This window comes from Homo sapiens, chromosome 6 (assembly GCF_000001405.40).
Source record: "Homo sapiens chromosome 6, GRCh38.p14 Primary Assembly".
Lineage (NCBI taxonomy): Eukaryota > Metazoa > Chordata > Mammalia > Primates > Hominidae > Homo > Homo sapiens.
Window position 1 is genome coordinate 157,235,635 of NC_000006.12, and position 22,445 is coordinate 157,258,079.

Here is a 22,445-nt window from a genome sequence, read left to right on the forward strand (position 1 = left end):
GCATTCCTCAGCGCTTGGAACTTGCGAGCTGATGGCTTTTGGTGGAGCCCAGGAGGGGCGCTGTGGGGCACAGACGTGTGCGGGGCCGGCAGCTGCGGAGAGAGCAGCGCACCCCAGCCTTCAATTCCCCGCCGAAGATGGGACTCTGCCCAGAGCCGAGGCCCCTGGCTGCTGCCCCGCTCCCTTGCGGCCGCAGTGACACTCAGAGCCAGATTCCTCAGACAATCTTCACTCCTCCGTGGTGGCTGCCTTGGGAGGCGTTGCGGGGTGAAGGAAGTCGCAGCTGGTCCCAAGCAGTGGGGAGGGCAGGACAGGGAGTAAGACACCGCCTTCCTGGGGTGCACACGGAGGAGGGGCGCTGCCCAGGAGCGGAGGGGAGGGGAGCGGAGCGCGGAGAGGAGACCGGTGCCAGACTTCACCCGCCTAGCTCTCGGAACCCCCGGGGGCCGCGCTCGGCTCCGCCTGGGGGCTACCGGTTCTGGGCCAGGAGAAGAAGTGGCATCCGCGGGGCAGGGCGGGCGGTGACGGCCGGCTCAGGTGGCGGCCCCACCCCAGCGCCCTTCAGCAGGCCTGGGTCGGTCGGCCTCGGACCCCGTAGGCGCCGGCGGAGCTGGCGGCAGGGACCCGACAGCTCTGCCGCGGACTCCGCAGGGGACATCCCCCACCCTGGCGGCCCACCCAGGCGGAGCGCGGCGGGGACCGTGCATCTAGCGCGCCCTGGTGACCTGCGGGCCGAGGCGGGCTGTGGGGCTTGGCCCCGCGACTCAGCCTTCCGGGCCCACAGCGGCCCTGACCCGGGAAGTGCGGAGGTTTGGCCGCCTTCAACAGCACCTGCCAGGCCACTGGGAGCAGCGGGGGAGAAGTGGGCTCGCACACCGACGGCCTCCCGGGTTCGGCGGGGACGACCCGAGCTAGGAGCCCGCGGGGGCCGTGGGAGCTGCTCCGCCGAGGTGGACCCGGGGCGCCCGCACCCCTCACCTTCTTTCCGTGGGGTCCGGGGCCAGGGACGCAGCGGGGGACGGCGGGCATCAGCCGGGCAGCGCCCGAGCCGTCCCTGGCCGGGTCCCCACACCTGCGTGCTCGGGCATCCCCAGGGTCGGGGGCGCGGTGAATCGTGGTCCCCGCAGCCCGGGGCCCGCCAGGCCCGCGGAGTCAGCCCACCCTGGCGAGGGGCCCAGGCACCCGCATTTAACCAGTCCCGACCTCGGCACGTGGCGGCGCCGGTGTCGCAGACTCGGGCCCACTTCTGGGAGCTTTGGTGCGAGGGGGAAAGTGCCCCTGCGGACGGGCTCGGGTGCCCGGTGCTGCCCCGCCGCCATCCCCGGCACGCAGAGGTGGAGAATGCCAGGCAGCCTGCCGTCCTAATTGGAAGTGGATGTTAAAGAGGAGAAATTCAGTTTTGTCAGTGAAATGTCACGGATTTCGAGTCTCAAGCCCACCCCTAGCCCTTTGGTATTTGACTATCTTTATCCTTGGCAGTGTGTGATTCCCATGTTTCAAAGAAAGAACTTTAAAGGTTCATAAAGCTCCAAAGATTTCAAATAGCTCTTTTAAAAGCACTTTGATGGTTTAAATGCAGACACATGAATTACATATCTCTTAAATTACACAGGGTTTTAAATCTAAGGGAAAATGTCTTTGGCAAAATGAATTGGGGTTTTGTCTTGTGTAGGTAGGTTTTGTGTGTGTGTGTGTGTGTGTGTGTGCGCGCGCGCGCGCGCGCAACATTCAGATCCATACTGGGTGGGGGAAGGGAGGCAGCTGGTGAGGATGCAGGGCTGCCTGCCACCTGGCCCCTGCTCTCTCACAGCACACGGGGCACGCGCTGGTCTGGGCCCTGTGTGATCCTCTCAGGTGAGGACAGCCATGTGGCCACATCTGACCCCTGAAGGTCAAAAGGATAAACTCCTCTAGGGAGGGCGTGCCTCCTCTCTTCATACCCTCCCCGCTCAGATCAGCGGTGAATGGGGGAATGAATGATACAAACAGCTCATGGAGGTACAATCACATCTCCACTCACAACGCCTGCAGCTGGCCCGTGACCAGCAGCAACTGATCTAAAGATCAATCTCACCGGTCAAACCTTCAAGAAAACAGCAGTAAACAGAGACTCGGAGCCTAGGAGGGGGCAGTTTGGTACAGCAGTCCCGGTTTATCCACAGTTTCACTTTCCGTAGTTTCAATAACCAGTAGTCAACCGTGGTCTGAAAATTGGTGAGCACAGTGTAATATATTTTGAGAGAGAGGGAGACCACATTCACATCACTTTTATTACAATATATTGTTGTAAATGTTCTATTATTGTTGGTCATCTCTTCCTGTGCCTAATTTATAAATTAAACTTAATCATAGGTATGTATGTATGTATAGGAAAAAACATAGCATATATAGGGTTTGGTACTATCCAAGGCTTCAGGCATCCCCTGGGGGTCTTGGAAAATATCCCCCACCAATAAGGGGAACTTACTATATTGTGAATACTCACGCAGGGTCAGGCTGCATGGGCTTGAATTCCTACTCTGCTACTTATTATCAGGGTGACCTCTCTAATCCTCAGTACCCTCACCTATAAAATGGTATCATAGTGGCCCCTATGGCACTGGATTATTATGAGGATTGTTCTAGATATATATGAAGCTCTTAGCAAACGGCCCACCCCACAGGCACCTTTGAGATGGTGGTGATAGAGAGTATAATAGATGAGGGTGATAGTGGTTATGGTGATGGTGGTGATGAGGGTGGTGGTGATGGTTGTGGTGAGGATGAGGGTGATGGTGATGATGATGGTGATGATGGTAAGGATGGGGGTGATAGTGGTGGTAGTGGTTATGGTGATGGTGATGATGAGGGTGGCAGTGATGGTGGTGGTGGGGATGAGGGTGATGGTGATGGGGGTGGTGGTAGTGATGATGATCAGGATGGTGATGAGGTGGTGATGGTGAGGATCAGGGTGACGTTGTGGTGGTGATGGTGGTCACCCCACAAGCTCTCAGCAACTGGGTCCCAGTGTTATCGCTAGACTCTCCTGGTGTCTATACCTCCTGTCTGCACCAGGTGTTTTTGTGCACAGCATGTCTCATCACCCCATCCTGTTAGTGGTGAGCAGCCCCTCCTCCCAGGCCTGAGAGATTCATCTGTTGATGAGGCGGATGGGCAGAGGGAAGACCTCCTGCTGTGCTCAGGCAAATCAGACTTTGCCAGGGAGTCCTGAACAGTCTTGTGCATGTATGAGCAATGGTAGAAAAGAGGATCCTCTAAACTATTTCTTAGAACAATAAGCTTGGGAATGAGATTTGCCTAGACGAAAGGGTTTCAAAGGCAGCTTTTAGGGGTCGGTTCTTCCATAGAAGCAGGACATATCGGCAGGCCCTGTGGAGGGGCCAGGTCCAGTCACACATCTTCCTGTTTCCCACTCTTCCCAGGAGCCCTTTGCACAGAAAGAGAAGTTTCCTCAATCACATCTCATCCCATCCCCAGGAGTTCTCGGTCTCTCTCCCTTGCCCTTGATTGACATGATGCCAGTTACCATTTCTCTGGTTTGGTGCATGTTCCATATTTATTGATCTATCTGGCTCCTGTGCCCCAGTTCCAGTGGGGATTGTAAGGCTCTGGAGGGCAGTGACCCTGATCTTTCTCAAATGTCCCACATGGCATTTAGCAACAGTAGGAGGGCACCCCCACATTCTGCATCTCCCACGGACCTAGAATGGTGCTTTGTACATACTGGCAAATGTCCACTGAATAGATAAGTAGCCAGTGACAGGTGGGGGTGAATGTCATTGTCTCAAAGCAGGCTCTATCCTTGTCCTTCCCAACTCAGGTGGCCCCAAATGCTGTGTGTATGGGCTGGGGTTATGCTCAAGGTGGGCTGCAACGTGGGTGCCTCTGGAGGGCAGCCACTCAGCTCCGACACCTCTCCTTTTAAACACAGCCTGGGGGCTACTGGGGAACTTGCCTCCTCCGTCTCCCCAGGAAACTCTTTGTGATTTTAAGCAATCAATATTATTAGATTTTTTAAAACGAATTCCTCATCCAGTCAGTTTTCATGCCAAACTCAAAAATGCTTCAAAACTCAACACCCTCCACATCACAATGTCTGGTGAAACTGCTAACTCCTGATTTTACCGCAAGATTCATTGTGGGGTTGGGGGCTGGGGGAGGAATGAGCTGGAGAAACCCCACAAAGCGCCACCACCATCCTAATCTCTCTCTATTACCAAAATGGACGGCAAGATGCGGATTACTGCGGCTATAAATCAGCTTTGTGTTGGGGCTAATCTGATACATTTTTCAAGTGTTGTTCTCTGTTCAGCTTTCAGGGAACTGCTCGGTTGGCACAAAGTTCGCAATCAATCTCCTCTGGTCGCTCCCACCGGCTCGCCACCTCCTCCGAGCCGTCCTAATATTTTATACATAAACCAGTTTCGATTCACAGGGCATTCCAACCAGTAAATGCTCTAAGATTCATCTTTATGGACTGGCAGCCCAGCCTTGTAGGCGTCCCAGCTTCTTAAGATTAAAAGGAGTTTTATTTGGTGTGTGATGCTGCGAGGGGAGGAGATGCTGGCGGCTGGCGGGTTCTATTTTTATTACGCGTGCTCCTCTCCAGAGAGGAGGAGGAGGCAAGGCTGGAGAGAGGCCTCGAGGGCGGGGTCCTGGAGATGCAGCCTCTTCATTGCCCCTCTTATTCCAGACCCTCCCAGCCCTGTGTCTGGGGTCCTTTGAGGTTCCCCAAGGCCTAAGCAAACAGGGGTGTTTGCAGTGACCAGGTGTGCATCTTGGCTGGTCACAGGGTTGCAGCCCAGTACCCAGGGAAGAGGGATCCAGGATCAAATAGATAGGACAACCGCTGGGGGAGGGGCCGGCCCCACCGGAGGAAATGAAAATAGTTGCAGTTTCATTTGCTTTAAAGCACAGCCCTTGTAATAAATGCGCACAGCAAATGTGCTGAGCAAACACCTCGGCATTCATCACTATGCGGGGGCTGTTTACTGCCTCATAAACTTGGAAGCAAGTGATATTGTCTCCTAAATCAATGGCTGCGCGGACAGCCTTGGCGCTCCAGGAGAACAGCACGGCCAGGCCGCGCCCGTGCTGAAATTAATGACTGGAGCAGTGACTGGAAGGTGCTTAGTCACTGCCGAGGGGATTAGGAGCCATTCCAGGGGACGAGCAGCCAGCGTGAGTGAGCGTGTGTTTTGGGGGAGGGCTGATGGGCTGTGAGGGTGTCCCTACATGGGAGCTGCACTCAGGGTGCAGGGGCCGATGACCCAGCCCTGGGGAGGGAGGGAGGGAGGAGGGGAGGGCCTGGCTGAACCGGGCTCCAGCCCCCTACTCCCGGGGATCCCCAGCACCTTGCAGCCGGCCAGCTTGGGGTAATTGCTGAGGAAGAGGGTGGAGGGAGGGGAGCCAGGCAGCCAGGTTTCCAAGGGGGATCCCGGGAAGTGTTTATGGAGGTAGACGCTGCAGTGGGGGCAGTCCCACAGGGGCCTGGCCGCTTCTGGGAGGCTTCCAAGGTGGGATGGAGAAAAGGACACCTGCCCTTGGCAAATGCTGTCGTGTTGACGAAGCACCAGCCCATTAATGAAGCAGGCTCGGGAGGAGCACTGCGGGCCAAGCCGGCTGCTGCCCTGTGCTTCCTGTGGGGTACTGAATGGTGGCCCCCAAAGTATGTCTGCATCCTAATCCCTAGAACCTGTGAATATGACCTTATTTGAAAAAAAGGCTCTTTGCAGATATAATTAAGGATCTTGACATGAGGAGATCATCCTGGGTTACCTGCGTGGGCCCTAAATCCAGTGACAAGCGTCCTTTAATGGAGAGGCTAAGGGAGATTTGAGACAGGTAGAAGGGAAGAACAGAGAGGAGGAAGCCATGTGGAGTCTAAGGCAGAGCCTGGAGTGAGGTGGCTGCAAGCCAAGGAATGCCAGGCACTGCCAGTGGCCACTCGGTTTAGGGCTTCTGGCCTCCAAGCCACGAGAGAATGAACATCTGTGGTTTTAAGCCACCAAGGCTGTGGTCATTGGTAACAGCAGCCACAGAAACTAATACACTTCTCTTCCCCAAACCTGGGCTCCCCTACAGTCCAGCAGCTGCGCCCTACATTTCTGGGGATGACTGGTTCTGGCCAGAAGTGCCCAAACCGGTGGGGGCAGCCCAGCCTGGCAGAGCCTTGGAAAAACTCTGAGTTTCCTTCTCTTGGCCTCAGCAATCACTCCTATATAATAATAGCACCATTCAAAGCGCAGGTGATTTTGTTCGCCTGAATTTGTTAACCTACTCAGGCACTCAGCAACTCATGCCAAGCAAAGTGTCACTTAAAGCAGCAGGTGCCCCCAGAATTTTACTGAGGTCAAAATTCGGCCTGGGCAACATGGTGAAACCCCGTCTCTACTAAAAATACAAAGATTAGCTGGGCATTGTGGCACGCGCCTGTAATCCCAGCTACTTGGGAAGCTGTGGCAGGAGAATCGCTTGATCCTGGGAGGCAGAGGTTGCAGTGAGCCGAGATCGCGTCACCGCTCTCCGGGTGTGTGTGTGTGTGTGTGTGTGTGTGTGTGTGTGTGTGTGTGTGTGTGTGTGTAATGGACCTTGGGACGAGCTACAGGAAGCTGTGATGCCAGGTGTGGGCCTTGCACCCAGCTCACCCATGCTGCCCCAGGGCAGCTTCCTTGTCCACACCCCAGCCGCTTTCCAGTTAAACATTTATTCTCAATCGCAGCCCCAGGTCCTTGTGTCTCGAGTTGTCTCACTTGTTTCCCTTCATGTGCCCATCCCTTCCACTGGGGGTAGAGATGGGCAGCGCCTGAGCCCGGGCAAAGAGGTTCATAAGTCATTTCACAAGACGATGAGTTAACTGACTTACTGACAGGCAGAAGTGGATTCGGAGCCAAGTTCCCTCTGATAAATGGAAGAGGGTGCCATGGGGGAAAAGCCTGGTATTTTCTGGAGGGTCTCACGTTACCTTGATAATTTTGAGTGTGGTTTAAGGTTCAACTCTCTGCCTTATAGGATGAGAAACCCCAAATCGTTCTCACCCAGAGACAGAGGGCTTCCTCTCGCAGGGGGCCCAGGGGAAACTGTTAAGGGCTGCAGGATAACAAATTATTAACTAATGGTGAGAAATATTTCGGCTCTACTGTGGGAAATTGCCAATATTTGAATGCTTCTGCCCTATAAAAGTGGCAATTTCATATGGCTCAACACTGCTATCGCCACAGGGGTCTGGGATACTCAGATCCCTTTGACCACAATTGTCCCCTGCAGGTCCCACATGTGGGAAGCCCAATTCTAATCCAAGAGGTTCTTGGTGAGCAATGAACTGCAGCAGGGATTCCGGGGCGAGAGGGTGAGGAACAAACAGGCAGACCCCGCCAGCTGTCAGCTGGGAGCCAGCCTGGCGCCCACCACTCCACCATGATGGTCTTTTGTTGAACAAACACAATTTTCCTGGACACCAACATCGAACAAGGCAACTCTGTGACTGGATAGGGGGAGACAAAAACAAGACCACTTGTTCAAACAAGGTAATCATGTTTGAACACAGACACACACACAGCACACTATTCAAACCACAAAAACAACCACACGTGCCTCCCTCTCACCCAATGTCAATGATGGCTACTTCCTTACCAATGACAGCCTTAGCTCGCTCTATCCTTTCTCGTCTTGGATAAAAACTAGTGATACCCAATTATACCCAATCCAGAGCAACTGCTCCCAAGTCACCTAACGCGAGCTCAACTCCTATAACAAGGTCACCTACCACCCTCTTACTGAGACACCCCAAGTTTCCCTGTGGTGTGCGGTTTCCCCTGTGGCAACAAGTACCCAGAAACCTAACTTTATTCAACTATGTGTTCCTGGTTTCTTTGGCTCATGGGCATTGATAACGGCAACAGGCTCTGGCAGCCTGGACCTGGCCATCTCTGCATTGACGATTGGCCCACCACCACCGCCATAATCACCACCACCGCCACTATAACCACTTCCAGCAGTACCACAATGGCAATCCCCTCACCAGTGTTACTGCCACCCCTACCGGCACAGTCCTCACCACCTCTCCCTAACTGCTAAGTGAGGTATACACATTTTATCCTCCTTTAATTCCATGAGTTAAGAACTGTTGTCTCCACTTTCCCAAATGAAGCTCTTATGGCTCAGTGAGGTGTTACAGACTAAATGTTTGTGTCCTCCTCCACATTCGTGTTGAGATCTTCTTCCCCAGTGTCATGGCGTTAGGAGGTGAGAGCTTTGGGGGAGATTAGGTCATGAGGGTGGGGCCTTCATGAATGGGATTAGTGCCTTTACAAAGGACACAAGGAGAGGACCGTCACCTGCAACTTGGAGGGCCATCACCAGAACTCAGCCAAGCTGCACCCTTTGTTACAGGGGCTTTAACGGACTGAGACACCAGGTTAGGTAACTGGCTCAAGATCGCACAGCTCAGAACTGGCAGAGCAGGGCTTTGGATCCCCAGTCAGCCAAGGACACTCTACTGCTTCCCCTGAAGCAGAAGAAGCCTTTGGGCCACCCCACACCCACCCCAACCCACCCCACTTCTCCCCCGTTCCCACACCCTTCCCTCCTCTCCTTCCCCCTGCTCAGATATGAGCTCCCCGCAGTTGCCTCTGAGACTCTCCAGGGCAGTCCTGGCTGGTCCCATCTGACTTGCAGATTGTTGTGTTTCTTTAAGGTGGCTTTGCACGCATTGTCTCCAGTGCCCTGTGTGTGGATTTCACAACTGAACGTGTGCAGGATGATGTTATTTCCTTCATACCAAGTCCTCCAGTCTATCTCCCTGTTGCCACCATGTGCCAAATGCAGTGAGCACATAAATTCTTTCCAAAGCCAAGAATAGAAACCAAGATTTATGAGTCTCAATCTATTACTGTAACCAGCAGGATCACTTTCTCCCCATATCCTTTATTTCATGGCCATATTTTTCTTTGTAAATGGCACCTTTTTAAGATGCTATATAAAGAGGCCCAATTCAAAGTTTTAAATTCAGATTATTTGGGCTATTTGAGAACATTCTAAGCAGCTGAACTATGGGTTGAAATACCCTTTTTACATGCTTGAATAAGTCCAAACAGCTTAAAGGATTTCCTTCAAGTTTTCAGAAAAAAAAAAGATTTACTTCTAGACTGAGGAAAAAAAATATGATAAACTTCTGCACAAAAGCAATGCCCTGAGAGAGAAATCACTTATGTGGCTGTGAAAATCAGGGGCTTTGTAGAAAATGCAGCCCAGCCTACAAGCAGAGGTCCCCTGGGCTCTTAATGCAGATGTCAAGGGTGTTTGCAGAGAAGCAGGCTCAGGTGGGTTTAGGGGGTGTCTGAAGGCCGAGATCTCTTCTTCCAGTGTGTGTTTATGCTAAACCCCAGAGATAAGGATTAGAGGTCGGGCAAGGTGGCTCATGCCTGTAATCCCAGCACTCTGGGAGGCCAGGGAGGGCGGATCACTTGAGGCCAGGAGTTCAAGACCAGGCCTGACCAACATGACAAAACCCGTTCTCTACTAAAAAATACAAAAATTAGCTGGGCATGGTTGCACATGCCTGTAACCCCAGCTACTCCAGAGGCTGAGGCAGGAGAATCGCTTGAACCCGGGAGATGGAGGTTGCAGTGAGCTGAGATTGTGCCACTGCACTCCTGGGAGACAGAGCAAGACTCTGTCTCAAGAAAAAAAAAAAAGGATTAGAAACAGAAATCATGCTCACTATAAAGTAGTTTAAATTGTTATTGATTCTGTTGAGTGTGAATGGGGAGCTTTTCAGTTAGGGCATGGGGGTGGCAGGTGGCACAGTTCACGGGAATGGCAGTAGCATTCCTGGTGCTCCAGGGAATTTCTCCTTTTATTGCTAGTGAGGCTGCACTGTGGTCTAGAAGCAGCTTCCAAAAATCTTCAAAAGACACATCACTGAGATGGTGGCTGCTCACTCTCTGAGCTCCTGCGTGCATAAAAACACTTCCCCGCTGCAGCTGTGGAAGCAACGGTGCTGCGGTTTGCTGTCTGCACCCCGGGATCTGCCTGCGGCACTTACCTGCTCCCAGGCCACTCCTGAGAGGAACGCTTTCCAGACTCGGGGTCCTCTCCTGATTGGGGACGGTTGGGGGGGGCGGGGGCGGTGCTTCACAATGTCCTCTCTGATCAGCTGTGAAAATGAGTCCGTGTTAAACAAACAGCATTGTTCCATGTGAGCGGCATGGAGGCCTCACCCTGTCCATGAACTGCTGGAGACAAGAGTGGCCATGCTATTGTCTTTCTTGAGAAAAACCTTTAAACCAGGTTCAAGGGTTCCTTAAGCCTTGGGTGGGTATCCGATTACTTTTCTTTTCCCCCAATGCGTCATTAAAAAAATTGGCTCCATAGAACACTTGTCTCATCTGTTTAGCTCACAGACAACCCCCACTCTCCCCGCAAGAAAGACAAACCCCAGTCTCCCCCAGACAGCAACCCCATCTCCTCAAAGACCTTGGGCAGCTGCCGGCAGGGATAAGAGCCACGTGCTTTTCATTACACCAGGGAGGCCATGTTCTGTTGTTTGGTTTTAATATTTCACAATGGTGATTCCAGCCAGAAATGAAAGCATTAAAAGGCTCTCTGGCTCATAAGCCCCCTGCCTGGCCCTGTCCTGCGTGGGCAGGTCGTCACTCCTGATGCAAGTGGCAAATGCTTAGCAGGCCTGCACTTTCCATGAAACGCAAACCCTCCAAGCCCACAGCCGGAGCGGAGGGTGCAGGCGGCCCCCTGCACAGCCCCCTCCTTCCCCAGACCCACTTTCTCCCGCACCGCGGGGCCTGTCCCCCAATGGGGGCCTCTATTGGGTCTGGTCAGCGCGGGGCCCCGGCCCTCCCACCAGCGGGGTCCTGTGGCCTTGTTGCGGGGAAGCCCTGAGCCTCTGGTCCTCAGGGCCCCAAAGCCAAAAGGGGGCTGCTCTCTGGAGTGCTGGCCTCCTTTGGCCGCCGGAGCGCCGCAGGGCCAAGATGGATCAGTGTATCCGCAGCCGCGTCAGAAATACATCGATTTTTGTTACAGCCACGAGGCCCATCCAATTAAAAATAATCACCAGCGTGTTCCAAGTCCTTATTCTTGCCAAGTGCATTGATGGCTGCTCACATGGAACAATGCTGTTTGTTGGACACGGACTCATTTTCACAGACGATCGAGAAGAAATTTTGAAGCACACGCGTGCCCCCAATCCTGGGCGGTCTGCAGGTTTTCCGAGGTGGTATTAATCCGCTTAGGCCTTTAGGGGGCTTGGGCCAGGGCAGCTTTCCTTGTGTGGGGCTGGAGTCATTACTAACCATTTATTAGGCTTCTGTCTAGAGTCAGGGCACAGGCCAAGGTGCAGTCGCAGCGAGAGAGGAGAGATAACGCCCCTGTGTGGTGCCTGGGAAGCATTTGTAAACTGCCAGCAGATTGGGAGGGGGAGGACAGGCAGGTCCTTGGAAATTACAGAGCCGTGGATGCACATCTGGTACCACTATGTAAACATAAAGGACACATAGGATAGAGACAGGACGCAAACCTGCCCAGGTAGGACTGTTTATTTGCTTACTGGTAATGGCAATGATGGGATGGAAAAGTCAGTCACTGATATCACACAAACCTGGATTTGAATCCCAGCTCTACCGCCAACTAGCTGTGTGACCTTAGGCAAGTCACTTACCCTCTCTGATGACTGGTTTAATCATCTCTAAAATCTGGCTAATAATACCTTCCTGCAGGGATTGAATGGCATTATCACTTATAAAGCCTTTAGAATAGTACCTGGTGAATACTAAGTCATCAAAGAACACAATTTTGATTAGTTTCTCAGTTTTCTGTAACTCTCAGCAATCTTCCGAAGGTCCATTTGCTGAAGTCTGGAAGTATCCCAAGAGTCTATATTTAACTTTTTTTTTTCCCCCTTCTGGTTGAGGGTAGCAAGGAATGAGAAACTATATACAGAAAAAGATTCCTTGACAATCCCTACTTTTTTTTTTTCTAGAGATATTCTTTCTTTCCAAACTTTTCAAGGTTTCCTTTTTAGCCCAGATTTCTGTTTAGTAGAGCAACCATATCAAGTTTTTTTTTAATTTTAATTTTAATTTTTTTAATCGAGTCTGGCTCTGTTGCCAAGGCTGGAGTGCTGTGGTGCGATCTCCGCTCACGGCAACCTCTGCCTCCTGGGTTCAAGCGATTCTCCTGCCTCCCGACTCAAGCAGTTCTGCCTCAGAGTAGCTGGGATTACAGGCATGTATCACCACACCAGGCTAATTTTTTGTATTTTTAGTAGAGATGGGGTTTCACCATGTTGCCCAGGCTGGTCTTGAACTCCTGACTTCAAATGATCCACCTGCCTCAGCCTCCCAAAGTGCTGGGATTACAGGCGTGAGCCAACGTGCCTGGCCCAATCACACCACGTTCTGGCGAATACGGATGCAGAATGTCTGGGTGTTAGCAGTGTGTCTGGGGGTGGGGTGGTTCTCATTGTCCTTGCTGGTGTGGTGTTTCCTTTCATGAGGTCTTTAGGTGTGTAGCTAGCTGAGGCCATGTGGTACAGTGCTTAGGCAGTGGGCTTGGGAATTCATCCACCTGCTTTTAATCCCTACCATGAACTCATTTTGTCATCCAAGTTCTCCAGGTCTCAGTTTGTCTGTTAAACAGGGATGATAAGGATAATACCCTCTTCCTGGGATTGTTGACCCCAGACACTGAGTTTTAGGTTCCTGACATCAAATGGACTATTATTTTGTAATATTGCACTCTTCCAAAATACCTTTTTCTAGAAAGTAACCAAATGATTTGTGACTCAGAGTTGAGATCTCCCTGCTCAGTGTATTCACCAGAACTTAGTAGGGTTGTTCTTTTTAATTTAGCCATTTTAGCAGGTGGGAAGTGGTTTTAATTTGCATTGCCCTACAGACCAACGATTTTGAGCATCTTTTCATGTGGTTATTTCTCATCTATATATTTTTTTGGCATTATCTGACAATTTGGCAAATTGTTCAAATCTTCTGCTGTTTTTGCTTTTTTTTTATTATTTTGAGAGTTTAACAACTATATACTAGGTACAAGTCCTTTATAAGTATTTTGCCAATATTTTCTTCCAATCTATAGCATGTGTTTTTGTTCTCTTAACACTGTCTTTTTTTTTTTCTTTGATATAAGGTCTCACTCTGTCACCCAGGCTGGAGTACAGTGGCATCATCACAGCTCACTGGAACCTCAACTTTCCTGGGCTCAGGTGATCCTCCTACCTTAGCCTCATGAGTAGCTGGGACTACAGGTGCGCACCACCACACCCAGCCAATTTTCTTGTGTTTTCTCTAGAGAAGGGGTTTCACCATGTTGCCCAGGCTGATCTCAAACTCCTGGGCTCAAGCAATTAGCCCAGCTTGGCCTCTCAAAGTGTTGGGATTACAGGTGTGAGCCACATTGTCTTTTGAAGAGCAGAGGTTTTTAATCTTGAACAAGTCTAATTTATCACTTTTTTTTTCTCCTATGGATCATGCATTTGGGTGTGGTAGCTAAGAAACCTTTGCCAAACCAAGGTCACAAAATTTTCTCCTATGTTTTCTTCTAGGAGTTTTATAGTTTAGTTTTTACATTGAGGTCCAGGATCATTTCAAAGCTAAGTTTGGTATAAGGTTCGAAGTTCACATAGAGGTCCCATTTTTTGCATATGGGTGTCCAGTTATTCCAGCATCATTTATTGAAAAGATGATCCTTTCCCCATTGAATTGCCTTTGCACCTTTGTTGAAAATCAGTGGACCACCTATGTGAGGAGGGGCTCTATTCAAGGGAGCATCTCAATTCATTTTATAATCTTGTATTAAAATTCCCTGCTCCTGGCCTTCATCCCCTGAAACTTCTCCCTGTTATACCCAGACAGGGTCCCCCACTCTCATCCATGGGCACTGCTCACTGTATTGGGTCTCCACCACAAAAGGCACTGACTGATCTTCTATACCCTGAAGTTCCATGAGCCTTGTTCCAGTGGAGGTTGGCTGCAGATGGGTGCACAGGCCTCTGAGAGGTTGGGGGAGTCCCCCACACCATGTCTTCCAGAAAGCCTGTCATGCGAAGAGCACTCCCCACTGTGGACCACAGCTCTGCATGCCCAAGGTGCTCTGAAACCCTGGCCAAGTTGGAGCCCTCAGAGCCCCTCCACATCCTCCCACTCCTGCCCCATCCTTACCTTCCCTTAACTCCAATCAGGCTGGAGAACCTTCAAAAGAAACTTGAGGAGAAGACCCTGTCTCCCTTTGGAATACACGGAAGGTGAACTCCTCCAGCAGCCCGCCTTGGCCGCCTCTCCAGCAGCTGCCTGGGGAGGCAGAGCACGAGCGTCTGAGGGCTGCTGGCTGCATTTCCCAGCAGTTAGGAATTAGATGAAGCCATAACCAGCGCTATACTTGGCAAAGCACCTGGACACAATAGTATGCTTAATGAAATGATTAAATGTCTCCACAGCGGAGCTTCATTTCATTGATTTAACTTTTATTGACCTCTGATGAATGTCTGCCAAAGCACTAGCACAGCATGGAGGGGCCTGGGCAGGCATCTGCCACCAGGCACGGTTTGGGCTGAACTTGTCCCCTCTTTTTTCCCAACCTGGAGAACTCAGTGCCATCATTTCTGCTCTTTAAGTCACGTCCCCTGGAGATAATTGAATGAGTACTGAACTGGAAAAATAATAATAAAATGTTTCCTTTTTCAAAGAAAATTGGTCCTGGCCAGGCAGAAACGTAGAGGGCTATGTTCCCTAACATTCCTATATTCAATTAACTGAAAATCATATGGTTTGTATCTAGGACAAAACATATTTCCAGAGAGTCCTACCAAGGTGTTCCATGGAAAATATTTTTCAAAGGGACAATTTTAATGTTAAGATTCACTGGAGAAATGCTGTCCACTTTATCCCTTCTGTAAGATTCACAGTGCACTTCACCTTAGCAAAGATGCTGAGAAGTCGTGAAGGAGATTCACCTGCTTAGCTAAATTCAGCTGCTTTTGCAACATTACTTAAGCTAAGAAATCTTTTTTTTTTTTTCACCTAACACCTATTAACACCAGGGAACTCGGTTGGGAAATGCCTTTCCAGAAAATTCCATGAAATTTTCCCATAAAAGCAGTATCTGTTGCTCTGTTCTATTCAACAAAAGCCATAGAATCAGTGAAGGGTGAGACAGTGAGGAACTGGGGGCCACCCCAGGCGCCCTAGCTGCTTCTCTCTGGCATTCCCAGCCTGACCAGACATGAAAAGAAATCATGATGTTTTCCAGCGATGCTGATGAGTCGGGGGCCGGATGCCCCAACCAGAGCTCTGTGATTAACCAGCTGAGTAAGCCTGCTTGGACCCCCAGATCAGAAAGAGTCCATCTCCCTGAGCTTACCACAGTATGCACTGACCTATGATGGCACAGTAAGTATATAGCAGATAGTTTTTATCTTTTTCTCTCCTGCCAGTTTTCTGAAGAGATTCGTTTTCTCCAAATGTCATGACTGAATTAAAAACAGTTTTTTTTCCAACTTACTTCCTTCTGCACTGCATCTCTTCCTTCTCCAAACTCATGTTTGGGACTAGGGATCTACTATGGAAGACTTCTGATTTTTTTTTTTTTTTTTTTTTTTTTGAGACAGAGTCTTGCTCTGTTGCCCAGGCTGGAAGGCAGTGGCATGATCTCAGCTCACTGCAACTTCCGCCTCCTGGGTTCAAGAGATTCTCCTGCCTCAACCTCCTGAGTAGCTGGGATTACAGGCACCCACCACCGCGCCCAGCTAATTTTTGTATTTTTAGTAGAGACGGGGGTTTCACCATGTTGGCAGGCTGACCTTGAACTCCTGACCTCAGGTAATCCACCCGCCTCGGCCTCCCAAAGTGCTGGGATTACAGGTGTGAACCACCGCGCCCAGGCCCACCCTGTCTTTTAAGAGGTATCAGCCATGAAAAAACAGAATGCCACAATGAAAGCCATTCTCCCCGCTTCGTATAGAGCCTCCACTGCCACTAATGCAGAATTAGATTAGGGGCTGACTATCCCTGTGAAATAAACTCTCCCCACAGTCAGAAAACATCTGGAAACCACGGAGTCAGCAGATAAAGCTCCAACCTTCCCTCTTGTCGCTCCCCAGCTCCCCACACAGTGTGCTGGGCTGTCATCTGCAGCGGGCACATTCATTCTCATTCTTTATGCCTTGTTATTCTGTCAATTTCTTAATCTATTTATGCTGACTTTATTTTTAGTGGGCCTATTGTGACAGTGAATCCTGAAATTGCCTTGGTTGTTTTCTGAAAATGGCTGTTACTGAACCATAATGCAGACCCCAAATAAAATAATGTAAGCCCCAGGCAGTTTCTGGAGGTCTGCAGCAGCTGTCTACATTTAGGGCTGCATATCAATTCTCGCTTCAGAGGGGCTTGCCGGGAGAGGCAGCTCGAAAGGCAATGCCATGTCATATTTAGATAAGCATCTCTGGGTCCTGCTAAAAATGCTCACTTCTTCCCCTTTTGGAAAATTTCTTCAAACATTAATAAATTCCCTCCCCTCTCCCTGTTGTTGGCAAACTATAAAAAATGCAAATGATCCAGAAACCAATTAATTTTTAGAAGGTTGCAGCTGCTTTGCTGTATTCACAAGACATGGTGGGCACATTAGGGTATGTGTCTCTGAGGCACATGCATGCAGAAGGCATCGACTTCTTGTTGCAGAAGCACCAGTTATCTCCAGATAGGAGCCATCGTTCAGCCGTGTCCGAGCAAACAGATTACTTCCAAATTGCATTCCACTTCTGAAGAAACTGCTAATGAAGGGGCCATGCCGAGGCAAAACGGTGGCCTCGTGATACATTTCCAGTAACACAATGAAAAGTTTCACCTTTTTGTACCAAGGAAATGCTTGGTGGAGAGGCAGAGGTGCCGGCACTGGCATTCTTCAGGCTGGCTCTGGTATCTTAAGTCCTGGGGGCTTTGGGGTTACAGCTACGTAAACTTGGTTAGATTTAGAGCTCATAATTGCAAACATCAAAGTCTTTATTTTTCTGGCGGTTCTGCAAAATGTCAAAATAGTATTCATGCAAGAGAACACCATCAGTCTTTTTTCTACTTTCTATGACATTCAACCATACTGTTCACAGCTCACCCAACAGCCATTCCCCCTTTCCGTTCTTCCCTTGTAGTAGAAGCTGGATTGGGTTTAGGTAGAGGGATAGCAATCCCATAATTTCAACCCCCCAAGGTACACTGTGCCTGGTCCAAACCAATCACTGTAATCCCATGTTTGGCCCAGGACTTGGCATACAACCCAGCTGTGGCCAGCGAGACACAGAGCAAGCCTGCTGATGGGGCTTCCAGGAAATACTTTTATTTTTCTTCAGATACAAGACAAAGGCATGTAAGGAAAAGACCTTTCTGCACCTTCCCCAACTTCCTGCCTCCAACGCTTCTGTGTGATGATGTGATACTTGGAACATGGTGGCATCTTGTGACCATGAGGTGACAGGCTTGGCATGGACAGCCGTGTGCTGTGGGTGGCAGAGCAGGTAACCAGGAAGCCTGGTGCTGACACCCATCCTCCTGCACCTATGCCAGCTGGGACCGCCCACCTCCGGACTTCTGACCGTGTGAGCTGACGGCCTCTCTTCACTGCCTGGTGCCTGTTGGTCAGCTGTTTCGTTACTTGTGATCAAAAGCATTCCTGATGGATTCAAGACTCTTTGAAGAAACTGGAGCTGTGTCACCTGGAATCTCTGCTGTCAGCTGCTTGAATCCCCTCCCAGCATTTCCACCAACCTGTGCTTAGGCAATTAGAGAAGGAGGAACTCAGGCCAGGCGCGGTGGCTCACGCCTGTAATCCCAGCACTTCGGGAGGCCGAGGCGGGCGGATCAAGAGGTCAGGAGATCAAGACCATCCTGGCTACCACGGTGAAACCCCATCTCTACAAAAATACAAAAAATTAGCCAGGCGTGGTGGCGGGCACCTGTAGTCCCAGCTACTCGGGAGGCAGGAGAATGGCCTGAACCAGGGGGGCAGAGCTTGCAGTGAGCCGAGATCGCTCCACTGCACTCCAGCCTGGGCGACAGAGAGAGACTCCGTCTCCAAAAAAAAAAAAAAAAAAAAAAATGGAGGAGCTCACTCTCTCTCTCCCAGGCCACCCATGCCACCTCTGGGCCCTTCTGCCGAGTCTTTGTTCTGTGATGAGGGAATTCAGCTGGACAGCGTTCCCTGGGAGGTGTGGGGGCTGAGTCCCTCCCAGAGCCTGCCTGGAAAGGGCAGGGCTTGTCAAAGCCCCAGTGTGGGAGGCATGAAGGTGAGAGCCGCGCTGGCCAGGTATGCCCTGTTCTGCTTCCTCCTGCGAGTTCCCCAGGAGGGAGGGGTTTTATTCTTTCTAAAAATAGCTTTACTGAAATATAATTCCCACACCACACAATTCACCCATTTAAAGTGTGCAATTCAGTGGTTTCTAGTACTGCCACAGACAGGTGCCACCATCACCACAATGTTAGAACATTTCGTCACCTAAAGCAAAACAAGACAAACCTTTTCCCTTTAGCTGTCATATTCCCCCAAGTCTCCAGCTCCCCACTCCCTCAGCCCTAGGCAACCACTAATCTTTCTGTCACTCTAGATTGGCCTGTTCCAGACATTTCCCATGAACGGAACCATGCAATATATGTGGTCTTGGTGTCTGGCTTCTCACTTAGCATCATGTTTCCAAGGTTCATCAGCACTTCGTTGTTTTTTATTACCAAATTGTATTCCACTGTATTGATATACAATTGGTTCTCCTTATTTTTGGGAGTTCTGTTCTGTAAAGTCACCGCAAACATTGAATTAGCAAACATTGAACCACTACCCCTACAGGAAATAGAGTTAGGTTCCTGCAAGCCTCTGGTCACATTTTTGCCTACTGATCGATATGTAATCTTGTTTTATGTGTATTTCTGTTTAAAGACAACTAATTTGATATATAATGTGTCTATATATTTATATACGTATGTGCATATGTATATATGTATAATATGTGCATATATATATAGTTGGTTCATTAACATTGAAGTTATGGCCAACAGCATTTCAACTCATATTTCAGAGGGTGGAGGTTTGTGGGGAGGAGTGTTTTCCTGGAGAGCCTCTCAACATAGATACACTTGTGTGGACCTAAAATCACCCAAGCTAGGAGGGCCAGCCCATCCTGGTCTGCCCTGGGCTGAGGGCTTTCCCAGGAGAGTGAACTTTCAGTGCTAAAGCCAGACAGGGACAGCTGCTCACCCTACCTGCCTCCTAACATCTATCCACGGGTTCTGCATCCACCCTTTGGAGTGGCACAAAACAAAGATGATCCCCTCTTTCCCCAAGTAGACTCTGAGTGAAGACACATCTTAGGTCCACTTCTCAGGCTCAATATCCTCAATTTCTTGGACCTCCTTCATATTGTGCGAGGTGGCAGAGGCTGCTTGCTGATCACCAGGCTCCTCTCCTCTTCTGCACTTTCCAGCCTCTCTCGCAGGTAGGAGTGGCCACAGGAGTTCTAGAATGTGAGCAGAAGGCATGTGGCCACTTCCAGGCCCTGCCTATACACACCTTCCACTCACAGTCCTCCATGCTCTTGCACAAGAGGGAAGCTGCCCTGGGTCACTGCTAGGGGAGGGCTGACCTCCACTCAGGAGCCCCTCCTAGGTGAGCAAGCCATAAGCGGTTGTGCTGGGTCTCTGTGGTTAGGGGCTTACCTGTCACAGCAGCTCCAATCACTTTGACTGGCTCACATGACGCAAAGCTCTTTTGTGACCAGCTCACTCCTCTGCACACATTCCTGCCTGTCTAGACTCCTTTTTTGGAGTCCAGGTGTGGTCCGTGTGTCCAAGGCTGAGGCCAATGCTCTCCCTCTTCCCACACCTATCTCTAGGGGTGTTGGGTAAGATTGCATTAACTGGGGGAGCCCCACCCCGTGGCTGCCCCACATGAAACACTGTTAAACAGCCCTCCCAAGCCGTTTTCACCCATACCACTGCAAAGTCACGTTTTCCCCATCCTCTGCAGCTGGGGGCTTGGGAACACAATAATTAGCTTTATTGTGAAAATCACCCATCACCGTAGCTCACTGAGGTCCTCTGGATCCTGATTCTGTCCACTGTGCCTTGAGTCTTCGGCCATTCACTGGTGTCTCCACTCTCCACTGCCTTACTCACAAGCATGATCACTATACTAACAACAGCCAGCACTCCACAATAAACTCTAAGTGCTTCCTGAGTCTCAACTCTTAATCTTCTCAACAATTCTCACGTAGAAACTATTATGATCCCCACTGTATAGAGGAGTAAACTGAGGCACAGTCAATAACTTGCTCCAGGACAATTAGCTAGTAAGTGACAGAGCTGGACTTAAACCCAGCAATTTGATGTCAGTCATATTGTTAACTATCAGGCTAATATGTTGTCTACACCTGGATCATGTCTGAATTCAGTTGTTGCAGACACAAATAGAGAACACAGATGTGCTCCGGGCAGCTGGGCCCTCTGCTTGGAGACGCCTGCAGTTAACACCCCTCTGCTTATAGAGCATGTTTCAGGCGTACTTGTTCAACTGGTCACTCAGCCTCAACAGCCTCCAAGCTGTTTCATCATTTTATCTGTGAGGATTTCAAAGGAAACCAGGAGCCGAGCGCCCAGAAAGAAAAGAAGACCGGAATCAGAGAGCGTTCTGCAAGTTCGCAAGTTCAAGGGCCCAGAGGCACAGTAGCCCAGAAGCCTCAAGGACTTTCTACCAAAACTCACAGGTACAACCTTGAAAACACAAGAAAAGAAAACAAGAACTTGCCTTCTTGGGCAAGGGGAGTTGAAAGAGGCCAGGCCCAGAACTCCAGAGATGAAATGGGAGCAGCTGCAGCCTGGCTGTTATTCCAAGCGTGTCGTGCTGAGAAGTAAGGGGAGTGTGTGCTCATCACTGTCTGTGGTGTGGACTCAGGACGCGCCCCCTGGAAGCATCGATTCGGCCCGAGTCGCTTGCTGAAGGTGTGCTCTGCGGAGGGGCTGCCCACCCAGCCTCTCTATATTGACCATTTTCCTGCTTTATGCAAAGTAATTGGCCAAGCATTGTACAAAAGAAGGATAATTAATACACTGGTTTAACCCTTGATGAAATTATTTTCTTTTCACCGTCCAGCCTGAGTGTTGAGAGAGATGAAATAGAAAGTTGAGAGCCGGAGAAGGATGCCTCTCCCCTCCAGTGGGGGCAGCTGGATGGTGGGCAGGTTACCCTGGTGTGTCCCAAGCCCTCGGCCACACACAGCTCATGCTCATTCCTATCAAGGGAAGAACTGCTTTCAGCAAGCTAAGGCTGGCTTGAAAGTGGTCCAAGATCTAGAATGTCCATCCCTTTGTTAAAAATCTTCCTCGAACTTCCTGTCCCTTGTCCCCCCCATCCAGACAACCAGGAGGCAGACATAGGATCAGAGCCTGGCAGGGACAAGGCACCTACTCTGAGGATAGACAAGGAACACCTGAGTTTCTAACAGGCCAGGGGTGGGTTTCAATAGCGAACAGGCTGCAAATAACAACAAGTCCTGCTAAAAAGCACTGGAAGTTGAATCAACTTCACTTTGCATATTCCATCCTGAATTATATGAGTACACACACACACACACACACACACACACACACACGGGGGGGGTTGGGAGGGGAGAGAGAGAGAAAGAGAAAAAGAGATTAAGATTTCATGTGTTTCTAACCTACAGGATTTCTCTAAACATGCTGTGCAGGTCATCCAGCAATGGAGAATATAGAAAACTTCCAGAGATAGAGAAGCCCTTCTGCTTCCAGCCCCCTGATAAGGTATAAGAGAGACAGATTTTTAATAATGTATATCCAAATAGGAGAGAAAAAGATTCTGAAACTCTAACCTTGAGACGACTCTAACCCTACATATGATATATGACCAGCAGCCACATGTTTTCCATCATTTTAAAATAGACTTTTATGTATTTTAGAAATGTTTTCCATAAGCATGTATTTCTTCAACAATCACAAAACATTAAATTTATAATAAAACGAATATGAAGATGAAAGAGAAGAGACCCACAGAGTCTTTTCTACATTTTTCCATCCTGAATTATACACACACACACACACACACACACATGCACACAGAGGTTTTATTTTTAAAACTAAAATGGTGGTTTTTAATGGGAACCAGAGGTTAGACAATTACATAGTCCAGCACAAAAAACCTGCGGGTGATCAGGAGTTGGAAGGTTACAAAGTAATGAAGGTAACACTGGATGTAAGAAGAAAAACTGTTCCAGAATCTCGGGAGTCAGGCTAATACAACCTCTCCTGCAATCCTGTCTGTGCTCACTCCTGGAGCCCATCTTGCCAAGGCCAAAGCTGCCTCTGTCCTCACCACCCCAACCCCCTTGGAAGTCCTTACAGTCCCCACCACAGCCCCAGTAGCCACCT

The 22,445-nt window shown here is 50.0% G+C and overlaps 1 long non-coding RNA gene across 3 annotated transcripts, besides 1 other annotated feature; it reads left to right on the plus strand.

Annotated features, from left to right (window-relative positions):
• Nucleotides 4,360-5,144: an enhancer, noted in NCBI's record as "H3K4me1 hESC enhancer chr6:157638855-157639639 (GRCh37/hg19 assembly coordinates)". NCBI's record gives its function as "activates a minimal SCP1, AML or CMV promoter by ChIP-STARR-seq in primed H9 embryonic stem cells {active_cell/tissue: H9 hESC(primed)}" and the evidence as "EXISTENCE:reporter gene assay evidence [ECO:0000049][PMID:30033119]".
• Nucleotides 4,783-21,126, plus strand: LOC105378075 (uncharacterized). 3 transcript variants are annotated; one of them, XR_943149.4, is made up of 3 exons: nt 4,783-5,181; nt 15,277-15,416; nt 17,281-21,126. It is a non-coding gene; the product is annotated as an uncharacterized LOC105378075 (long non-coding RNA). The 3 variants fall into 3 exon arrangements; XR_943150.3 differs by having other exon boundaries at nt 17,369-21,126; XR_007059831.1 differs by lacking the exon at nt 4,783-5,181 and adding an exon at nt 13,241-13,276 and having other exon boundaries at nt 17,369-21,126.
• The last annotated feature ends 1,319 nt before the right edge of the window (nt 21,127-22,445 follow it).